The following is an 11,673-nucleotide window of genomic DNA, read 5'->3' as shown; positions in this document are numbered from 1 at the left end:
GTTAGGACAAGATGGCTTCACTGGTACATTGTACCAAACACATAAAGAAGAATTAACACCAATTCTTCACAATGTCTTCCAAAATATAGAGGAGGTGGAAACACAGCTCACCTTATTTTGTGAGCCAGTTCCTGGCTTGTAGACAGCACTTTCCTCCATGCCCTAGCATGCTGCTGAGAGCATGTGGAGGCTCTCTGGGGTCTCCTCTCATAAGGGCACTAATCCTACCACGAAGCCCTCACCCTCCTGACCTCATCTAAACCTCATCGCCTACCAAAGGCCCATCTCTGAACACCATCACGCTGAGAGTTAGGTTTCCACATATCGATTCGAGGGGGATGACAATTTAGTACATAGAAGACACCAAAATTTAACATGCATTACCGTTTATAATCACTCAAAACAATGTGAAATGAAAAATATAGATCTGACAAAACATGTATAGGACATGTATGCTAAATCCTACACAATCCTAGTAAAAGAGATAATAGAAGATCTAAATAAACGGAAAGACATACCATATTTGTGGGTTAGAAAACTCAACATATTAAACATGTCAATCTCCCTAAATTGGTATGCAGGTTTAAGGCAATTCCTATCAAAATCCCAGCAAGCTTTTTTATAAATACAGGCTGAATTGTTTTAAAATTTATATAGGAAGTGAAAAGAACTAGAGTAGCTGAAACAATTTTGAAAAATAAAAAGAAAGTAGAAGAAATCACTCTAACCTAATTTCAAGACATATTATATTGCTATAGTAAGCAAGATTGTGTAGTATTGGTGGAGGGATAGACACACAGATTAACGGAACAGAAAAAGAATCCAGAGAAAGACCCCACAAATATGCCTGATTGATTTTGACCAAGGTGCAAAGCAATTTCGTGGAAGAGGGAGAATCTCATCAACGAACAGTGCTGGAGCAGTTGAACATCCACAGGGAAAAAATACCACTGATCTAAACCTCACACTTTATACAAAAATTAACTTCCAAATGGATCACTAACTTAGTACAGAATAGAAGCTGTAAAACTGTTTGTAAAATACTAACAACAGCATAGGAGAAAATCTTGGTTGTGATATTCTCTATAGTTTTACTAGGTGTTACCACTGGAGGAGACTGAGTAAAGGGAACAAGGATCTCTCTGTATTATTTTTCTCAACTGCATGTGAATCTACAATTCTCTCAGTATAATAAGTTAAATTAAAAGCAAAAATATTATGTGCACGCCTCATTGGGATATGTGTTCCTGGGAGGCATGAGTGATGGAATTAGGAGAGGGGAGGGAGACATGAAGGGCATGCTGCCACGCTGGAGCCATATGACCTGCTGCAAGCCAGGACCAGGAGGAACACGAATGATCTTGTTCATTCTCTTTCCCTTCTCCATCTCTTATTGTTCCTTAAGCCCATGGAAACTTAACTTTCCAACACTTCTGGGTTATATCAATCCTGGAGAAACCAAAGGCCTGTGTTTACCTCATGTCCCTAACTGGGGCAGAACAGAAATGCCTTGAAGGGCTCATGCTCACAACTACTCCCGAAGATTAACAGGTAGGAGGTGGGGAGCCAGGCTGACACTCATTCTACAACACCACCCCCAGCACCAAGCATAAACGGGGAAGGGAAATCACATGCTGGCAGCCTGTGAGTCATCACTGCACTCATCCCTCCACTTCACCCTCAAAACACCTGGATGGGGGTCACTGTCATCATATAGGGGTGCACCAGGCAGGATCCTGTGCCTTGGAGCACCGCATCCCTGAGAGCACGGATCCTACAGTAGATAAAGTGTATTCTCTTTCTCTGCTCTTTTCACACACACATGCGTGCACACACACACACACAGCTCAACATTATGATTTGTGAGTGCTAAAAGGAAGTGGCTATTGGATGGGGGAAGGGGTGGATGTCTCACTGGAGGCTCCTGTGCTGGGAGGGGAGGTGGGGGATGCTTAGGGAGAGGGAAAGAGTGAGTCTATAGTGTGAAGCCAACATCAAACCCCACTATGAGAGGTGCCAACTTTAGAGCACTCTGAAAGGGACAATGCCTTTTTTGTTTTTATTTCCCATCTTTTATGCTTGGTAGACTTGATGTGGCCAGAGGGAAAGTCATAAAGCCTCTTGTCTCAGCTCATCATCATGTTCACTCTTAATTTTCTTTGCCTTATTATCTATAAATCCCTCTCATTACATAGTGACCCCTTAATAAAACTTCATTTTTCTCCCCACCTCCATCTCCCCAGCACCACCCCTCCCCTTCTGCACCTGGAGCCCAGGAGAGGAGGCTCAGAGTGAGCCTGCATCTCCAGGGAAGAATGCCAGTCCCAGGAGCTGCCTCCTTCCTAGCCCTTGCTCCCTGAAGTCCCAGAACCCAGGGTGCCCACCACAGGGCTTGCCACTGTCCCCTGGGTGGCCTGCCTGGCAGAGCAGGACAGGAGCTGCCAGGGGCCTCTCTGCAGCCTCCTTTCTTGGGTGTCAGAGGCACATCAGGTGGGGAAGGGAGGGTGGGACTCAGGCATACAGGGCTGTGGGTCCTGGTGGGCAGAAACCTTCCTGCAGGGGTGGGATTGAGCTCACACACCCCTGACATGCCTGTCCCAAAATCCTGACTCCTGTCACTCCTGGGGTTGCCCATCCAGCACATTCAGGACTGTTAGACAAAGCAGGACTGGAGCCCCTTCCACAGTCAGGCAAGCCTGCTTGGCACCATGCATGCGCCTTAATTAGAACAAATAGCCTTAGACACACAATAAAATAAAAAATTGATGATTCAGTGACAGATAATCGTTTGCAAGAAACAACAGATGCCTGTACAATGAAGATATATTTCATGTTTTTTTTTAAAGCACATTTAACTAACTGAATAATGCATTATAATGATTATGCTGATATTTCTAAATATGTTAAGAATTTATAATAAAATCTTTCCTCTGAGGATGCCAAGCTTTACTTAATTGGTGATGAAGTTGACACAGAAGGGGTGCAGGCTCTTTCCACACACACCACCACAGCCTCTGAGAGGGCACACGGAGGAAAATGCCTGTGGTGCCTGGGAGACGAGGAGCAGCGCCTGCCTGGAGTTGGATGCAGGCCACAGAAACCTACCCTGGGTGGTGACACATGAGATCAATAACATGTGATCCATTCGAGGGTGAGAGAGGACCGGCTATTCCCTAAATCCCTTAAGGACAGAGAAAGAGACTATTGGCCTGGGCTGTAGATAAGGAGAAAGTCCCCCTGTGGCCAGGAGTTGAGGGGCAAGATCCTACCCCTGACACCCAGCTGGCCAAGGACGTCTTTAGCCAGGACCTGCCTGGGATAGGGGAGGGAACGGGAGAAACGAGGAGGTGCCGCAACAATTCTGCCTCAGGCCCCAGTGGAGTCACTGGACTTATCCACCTGTCATGAGCAACTAGACCTCTGGACATCATGAACAAAACAACCCTTTGTAGACATTGGGCAAGAGGGTGAGGAGCTTACTACCAGCATCTAAACCCACTGAGCCATAAGCTGCTGAGCTGATGGGGAAGGCCTGCATCCTCTCCCTAGGCTGCTCCAGCGGGGGCTGCTCCCCCAACAGAGTGGCCAGGCTGTGTGGGCATAATCCGTGCCATTACCCAGCTGGACACTGCTGTCTTAAGAGGTCTCCCAGATATAAGCTTATTAATTTTGTTAATTTTGCAATGACCTAATTATAACTACTTAAAGGCAGAAGATCAGTTCTTGTCATTTGATGGTGAAAATCAGAATTGCTTCCTCTCCAAATCTTTCATTCCTCTTAATACAAATCAGTATTCTCACCATCGCCTACAAGGGCCAAGGCCACCTGGTCTGGGCTCCTGTATGTGTTCAGCCTCAGTCTGAAGCCAGCCCCTGCTGACAACGTGCACACCCACGTGCCTGTCTCCCAAGTCCCACACGTGTGGTTGGATCTGAATCCACAGCAGGTCAAACGTGTCTCTTCTGGTTCATTTCTCACTGGAGCTATCGACAGCTGGTGAAGTGCTCCTGGCATCAAAATTAGCAGATTATTCAAGGAAGATATTAAGTTGGCTCAGATTTCCCGCTTCGAGGCCAAGATATCAATGTTGCATAGCCAGGAGCTCTCGAGTTTATTTGGAGCTGCTTGAAGCTCTAGTTCACAGATAGGCACAGGAAGGGAGAGGTGACTGGGCTTGGAGCTGTCTTCCTCACCCCAGACTGCCAGGCCTGCATCACTGGGGCCATCAGCTCCCCTGACAGGCTCACAGAGTGCTGGGCTTCTGTAGCCATCTGAGGTTTAGATAGACCAGGAGAGAACAGAGCCCGAGAGAGGGGTGGAGCAATGCTTTTGGAGGGCTTCTTATGCAGCAGACACAAGCCTAGAGGCTTGATATCCCCAAGCCCAGTTTGACACGGAGGCTCCGAGGTGCAGAGGGGTTAGGTCACTGGCCCAGGGTCCTGCGTGTCTAGCGTGGTAGAGAGGGTGTAAGGCAGAGGCCTGAGTGCCCGGGCAGCAGGTGCTGCTGTGTGTGTGTGAGGGAGCCAGTCCCCGCGGATCCCTCAGCTGGAGAGGAGTCCCTCCCCAGAACACAGGCAGCTGAGCTGAAACCGGGAACCTCGGAAACCCGGACACAGTTAGGTTAGTGGGAGGTTTTGTTGACTTTTATACTTACTTCATTATAGAAACATCCACATTACATGAGAGTAGAAAGAAGAGTGAAGGGTGTTCAGCCTCAGCCTCTGTACCTCCCCCGGCTCATGCCTGGCTTCTTTCATCTCCCCACCCTCAGATCTCTCCTCAGAGATTTTCTAGCAAATTCCAGGCATTACAATTTTACCTGAAAGTACTTCCTCATGTATTTTTAATAAATAAACATATTTAGCCCATAACTGCACTTCTACAATTATATCTAACAAGATTTCTAACAATTAAACTAATACTTGGCTTATGCTCAAATTTCTTGAGGTTTTCAAAAAAGTGGGGAGAGGGACCTTCTTACAGTCACTGTGTTTCAATCAGGTTTTATCCAGGGCCTACACACACCGGCTGCTTTCTTTACACCTGTCACACCTGCATTCCCCTCTTCCCATGCAGTTTATTCTGTTCAAGAAACTAGGTCATTTATTTCTGCAGAATTTCCCACGTTCTAGATTTAGCCAGGAAGAAATTAAACTTCCATGTAACCAGGGCGCTCAAATCGTCGGGATGAGAGCCTAGTTTGTGGCTGCTTTGCAGGGTTGTTTCTTAGACAGCGCTACAATCTCGTTACGTTGTGTCAGATGTTGTCGTGGGGGCTTTTAGATGTGCCGTCTAAAGTCAGGAAGGAAACAGAGAGTGACTGGTAATTGTCATGACAATGACCAGGACAGTAGTAACTATGCAGTGAGTGATTACCCTGTGCCGGCTCTTTGCTAAATACTTCACAGGCATGTTTTTACTCAAGTCCATTCTCATTTTACAGAGGAGGAAGTTGATGAACAAAAACTAAACAAATGACTTGCCCCAGGGCACACAGCTCGTCATTTGAACCAAAGCTGGAATTCGAACGCAGGTCTGTCTCACTGCAAAGCCGCCCCCTCTTCTCCAACCCTCTGTGGGATTTGGTGACTTGAGTGCAGGGGAGCGTCCACCAGCGACCCTGCGGGACAGAAGATAAGTGAATGGGGAGGTTTTGTTAAGAAAGCCTGGGTGCCAGAGAGACAACCGGGAAAACTCCTTACGACCTGTTTAGGAAAAGCTTTCTCAAAGCGGGAGCTGTTCCGGGGAGGAGGAGAGAGGATGCATGTGGTCTGGGTACGGGTGTGGGGCAGAGAGTGTTGCCCAGCCCTCTCTCATTCGTGACATGCATATGTGGAGAGTGTGAGCACTGCAAGGCACCAGGGCATGCTGGCATCCCTCCATGGGGCTGCTACTTGCTGCCGAAGGGGGCCAGCTGGGGAGGCCCATGGCAGTCCCAGTCTCCACCTGCAAAGGGGAGGAATCCACATCTCAGCCCAGGTGTGAACCAGCTCTCAGAGCAACAGGCTGCCATGGCACCCCCCGTCAGAAAGTCCCAATGTTGGCTGTGTGATTAGTGCTCGAGTATGTAGAGTGTTCAAGCTGGAATGGAGGGAGAAGCCAGGAGCCACGGTGGGAAAGATCATGTCTTCAAGTGACCGAGGGAGCTGAAAAGCGCAGTTTCAGCATCAGAATGATTGTAGCTCTTCCTGGATTCTCCTCCACTGGAAAAAGTGTTGCTGTTGGGATCAGAGGACCTGGCTTTGTGTCTGGTCTTTAGCATTTACTAAACCTTAGAATGCTCATTTAAACTCCCTGAGCTTCCATCTTCCCACCTCCATCATGAGAACAGCACCTTGAGAACTCACTGAATAGGCCCTTCTGCAGGGTCTCCGACGTGCCGCAGGGTCTCCGACGTGCTGCACTGTGCTGGGACCTGGGAAGGAAAGGCTCTGACAGTCATTCTCATTCCTGCCATCTCCCTGATGCAGAAGACAACATTTCAGGAAAGTTTAAATAAAAAAAATATACGTATGAAACTGGTTTACAAACTACTGCTCAATACCAAACCACGAGTGGCAGTACTGCGAGTATTGAGTGAGTCTCAAAGCCTGAGTCTCTCATCCCACACAGTGCTTGGTTCACTGTGGAAGGTGCAGGAAGAGGGAGAGGCTCCTTATCCTGTAGGGGTCACAGTCATGTACAGGAGATGACCACATGCCCAGATGGCAATGACACCTGGCCAGAGGAGGAAAGTGCCGCAATGCAGCTACGAACCAATCCCAAGCTGCCAAGAGGCTGGAATGCTGTGTTCAAAATGGGAGGGGCAGGTGTATCAGGAAGCTTCACCTTTGGATTGTGTCCAGGAGTTTGAGATTTCAACATAGAGTGCCTAGAAAAGTGGGTTTTTAGAGGAGAGAACCTTCTGTCATTCCAGGATTGAGACTGAGAAATGAGCCAGCCTCCTGGAAAGAAGGCTGGAGAAGCCATATTAGGAGCCCAGGGGCTGGGCTCATTTGCACCAAGCCAGAGTGCACCTCAGACCGAGCCGTTGCTGATGTCTGCAGGTGCCAGTTGTTCTCCAGCATTGCCAAGCCTGCCCCCCAACTGACAGGAGGAGCTGGAAGGGGGATCTGGGCAGCAGAGATTCTCGGGAGACTCTGGGCCACACAGCAGGAGATGCTATTTATGGGAAAGAAAAGCTACCCAATGCCTTGGGTGCTGTTTCCAGAAAGTTCTCTGGTCATGGCAACACGTAGGGACCACATTTCGGGAGCATCTATAGAGCATTTTCATTTTTCTGCCCGGGCTTGTGTGTCCGCTGTGATGTCACAAGATGAACCCAGGCAGCCTCCAGCTATGACCTAGTGGTGGTGAGGCTCCAGGAGAAGCCATAGGTCTGAGGGATGACAGTAACCAGGCTCATGCTGTCACCCTCCTAGCAGCACCATCTGCATAGGACTTTCAAGTTTACAGACACCTTTCACCCCTCTCACTTCAGGTGAGCCTCACAATTAGCATGTGAGTCTGTTTTACAGATGAGGAAACTAACATGCAGAGGGCAGTATCTATTCAGGATCATAATAAGGGCAAAGTCAGGAAGCTCTTCTGATTTAAGCCCTGACTTCTATGGGTTATAGGAAACTTGGAAAAGAGAAGCGCTCACGGTCTAAGTTTCCAAACCTAGGATTTCCCCACTTCATTTGCGTGAATGCAAATGGGAAGGCTTCTCTCTGCCAGCGCCAATGACTCATCGCAGAGCCAAGGGACTCCCCAATTTCCCAACAATGCTTGGGGCCCTGGCAGGACCAAAAAAGGCTCAGAGAAGCTAATTCTCGAGAGGGCAAAAGGCCTGTTCGAGGATCCATGGCAGTGGGTAGTGGGTCCAAGGCTTCTGGTTACACAGAGTGTCCTGCTTTCTTCCCAGGATGTCCAGGGGTCTCCCGAGTGAATCTTCTCTTCCACGGCAGCCTACACAGCACTGGTGACATGGATAGCACCTTCCTCCCATGAATCCGGAGCTTCCTGAGGGCAGGCTGAGCTCCTTTTTCCTCTGCACTTCCGCACAGCTGCTCCCAGTCTCCCCATCCCCATCAAACAGCCGTTCTGCACTGTGTCCTATTGGAAATACAGATCAGCCTCATGAATTATGTCCCAACAGCGGCCTGTGGACACTGGGGAAACATTTCTCTTGGGGGCTGCACAGAGGCCTGGGGCTTCCGTGAATTGCCTCAGAGCACGGGGGCCATGCCCTGATGTATGATGGTCCAGCCAGTGCCACGCCTGGCCCCCGAGTCTATCCCCATCTTGGTACCCGCTGCTACCTTCTCCCCTTCCAGACAGAGACCCCAGGGTCAGCATCTCCCTGGGAAGCTTTCTGGAATTCCCCTCCTTCCTGCCTGTCCCTGTGACCCTCTCCTCCTGGGAGTGCCTGCGCCCCTGCTGCCCAGAGCCTCCTGTCCCTGGGGGTCAGAGGCCCCTGCTCAGTGCCCACCGCACAAGTGAAAGGCAATAGGGAGACCTGTGGTGGCTGGCAGTGGCACAGGCAGGTCCCAGGCTGCATGGATCTCATTCCAGCCTGCTCCCACCTCAGCACTCTGTCCCCACAGGGAAGAGGAGAGGGAAGGGGCCACCTTAGACACCTGGAGTGTAGGCACTTCCTCTCCAGGACCTCTGACCTGCCTTTCCCTTGAACTGGAATAATGGTTCACACTCACCAAGCACTCGCTCTGTGTCAGGCACCTGACTAAATTTTCAATACATTCTACATCATTCATCCTTCACCAATAGTCCTATGAAACATTTTACAGATTGGGAATCTAAGGCTTACAGAGTGTGACTCCTGCTGAAAGTCACACAGGTAGTGACAAGGTGAGGGCTACCTGGCTTCATCGCTTGAGGCTTCCCCCCAGAGCTGATCTGTCTCTTGCCACAGCCACACTGCTCACAGCAGGTCAGGACGGCAACTCTGTCCTCTCCAATGCAGCCCAAGTGTCTGGGTTGGGGCGCCTCGTTCTGCTTCCAGGGCCCTGTGAGTCATGGGTGGGTTGGTTTTTGCTCCTCGACTCCTGCGCCACCCAATGCTCTCCCTAGGGAGCCGCACCCTTCTCCAGGGCCCGCCTCTACCCTGCCTTCTCCAGGGCCCCCCTCTACCCTGCCTTCTCCAGGGCCCGCCTCTACCCTGCCTTCTCCAGGGCCCGCCTCTACCCTGCCTTCTCCAGGGCCCGCCTCTACCCTGCCTTCTCCAGGGCCCGCCTCTACCCTGCCTTCTCCAGGGCCCGCCTCTACCCTGCCAGGCACACTGGTGTCTCCATGTGGACTCTTCCAAATGTTGCTCTCTGTCCCTGGTTCCACTCATGTGACGCACCCTTCTGTCACTGCTGGGGTGGGTCAAAATCCTCACTCAATCAGGGAGAAAGTGCTGTCCCACAGCAGGGCTGCTCACAGAGCTCAGGGGGAACAGAGACCCTCCCCGTGGGAGACCATGGGGACAGGGGCTGGAATGACCCCAGTAGCTGGGCTGCAGGTGGGTTCACCCCAGGTCTGGACCTCAGAGTTTAGCTAGAGAAGAGGGCTCATGAAATCACCCAAGCTGAGACTGGAAGGACTTAAATAGTGATTTGACCTAAATGTTCAGTTTTTATTGAAATCAGATATATTCTGAGTTCACCCTGCCTCTGAGCTTCTAGATGAGACTGGCTGCATCATGACCTGTGGCAGCCCAGTACCCTCTCCAAACTGGGAAATCCCAGAGGCTGGGGTGTCTCCTGGTCAGCCCTCGAGGCAGTTTCTATTTTCCTCCAAGTCCTCCTTCCCCTCCTTCCCCTCTACTCTTGCAGGATTTTCCTCCAAGTCCTCCTTCCCCTCTACTCTTGCAGTGGGTCTCGTGTCAGGCAGTTTCTATTTCCCTCCAAGTCCTCCTTCCCCTCTACTCTTGCGGTGGCTCCCGTGTCAGGTGCACTGTCAGCTGCAACGTGGGCCCTGCATCAGCTCTCTGATTTCTAGCCACAAAAATTCCCACTCATGCCGGCAGCTGGGGATGCCATCTGGGGCCTCCTCCTGCCCAGCAAGAGCCTGCTGAGGCTGGGCTCCCCGCACTGAGCTCCAGAAGTAGCCCAAATGAAGTGTCCTTCACAGAGACCCTACCAGCCCTGCCAAGACAAGTCCTAGGACCGGGACTGGAGTGCAGAATCTTTAGTGCAGGCATCGAAGGTGCTGAGAGCCAAAGCCGCAGGCAAGACAGAGTCTTCTGGGGAAAGCTCAGATCTAACCTAGAGGCCATGCTCACCCACCTGATCACAGGGTGGGCTACAGAGCTAGGAGTGGAGAAGCCAGAGAAGAAACAGGGCAAGAGCAGGTCTGGAAGAATGAGGGCAAGTATCACAAACCTCAGCACAAGTTTCTGTCATCAGGGAAGTGCTAGCAATGCAGAGAATAGCACCCTAAGATCCAGAGACAGCTGCACACCTTTTTTTTTTAAGTTGAAGGAAGTGTGAGGAGCAGCAATTTGTCCTTTTTCTTAAATGAGATGGACCATAACCTAGTCCCTTAGGCCCTCAAAATTTCATACAGGTGAATGTATTGTCATGATTCTGTCCTCCCATTTCTGGCACACCCGCATATCACTATTTGCACATTTCTTAATCTCCAGGTCCAATCAGTGTGGTGTTTTTTATGTGACCAGCATGATGAGCCCTGGAATGTTGAGGCAGTTAGATCCCGCTGGACTGCATTCGGATTAGAGATCAAGAAAGTTAGCAGAGCTATGGTGCACAAGAGTAAAACTGTACTGCTGTACTTGCTATGTAAGAGCAAGCTGCCATGGGTTCTTCCTCATTATGAGAATTGGCAAAAAAAAATTTTCACCAAATAAGCAGCTGCCTCTCAGGAGTCAGAGATTGTGTCTTATTGTAAGTGCCCTGGCAAGAGACAGAAGCCAACTTTCTGTAATTAGAACAGGGAAAATTTAATGTAAAGAATTACTAACTAGTAACAGTAACATGGTGAACTACTAAAAGGGGTAAGAGAAAAATAACTCAAAGGAATACAGACTTGGCAAATGCAGGGATTTCTACCTACCTCTAGGACTGAGTGGGACAGCCAAGGAGGAAAAGGGCTCACTCAGCCTCAAAGTTAAGAGTCAGACCTGCGGCTGTCAACTGTGGGTGGAAAAGAAGTCCCCTGAGGTGCTGACAGGGCAGGGATGGTCCATGGGAAGTCATCCTCTGGCATGCCGGACAAGCTTACTGGGCACCCCAGGACCCCAGAATTCCAGCCATGCTGCAATAGGAAAAAGAGCACACAGGAATCAGGAACAGAGGGCTCAACCTCTGCTGTACCTTGTAACTTCCCTCCAGGGTCGACTATTGAAAAAGCATCGCATTGCACCCGCTAGCTGGGGAGACACAGCCACAAGGCCAAGCTCAAGGATCACAAAGCAGGCCAAGGGAAGACAGATTCCGGTGGAGAGGCAGTGAGATGATGATCGGCGCATTAATTCACTCCAGTAAGAACACCACTCCAGAGGAGTAGCTGTGCCTGGAGCTTCCCCCTAGCTAAGCTTATGATATTATCCATCAACTGCCAATCTAGTTTGTTTGTATAGGGGCCAGGAGGGTGACTTTAATAAGGATATGGCCCAAGACACAGCCTAGCTGAATGAGGAAAGCACAGACTGTGGCAGATGTCTCTGG

The 11,673-nt window shown here is 50.0% G+C and overlaps 1 long non-coding RNA gene across 1 annotated transcript; it reads right to left on the bottom strand.

Moving 5' to 3' along the window:
* Window positions 1–2,750: 2,750 nt before the first annotated feature.
* Window positions 2,751–8,990, bottom strand: LOC105369583 (uncharacterized). The gene is made up of 3 exons (XR_948212.3): window positions 8,863–8,990; window positions 6,349–8,098; window positions 2,751–5,621 (listed from the first exon to the last, which is right to left on the bottom strand). It is a non-coding gene; the product is annotated as an uncharacterized LOC105369583 (long non-coding RNA).

Source organism: Homo sapiens, chromosome 11 (genome assembly GCF_000001405.40).
Source record: "Homo sapiens chromosome 11, GRCh38.p14 Primary Assembly".
NCBI classification, from domain to species: Eukaryota; Metazoa; Chordata; class Mammalia; order Primates; family Hominidae; genus Homo; species Homo sapiens.
Note: the sequence above shows the minus strand (reverse complement) of the source record. Positions and strands in the feature narration are given on the sequence as shown.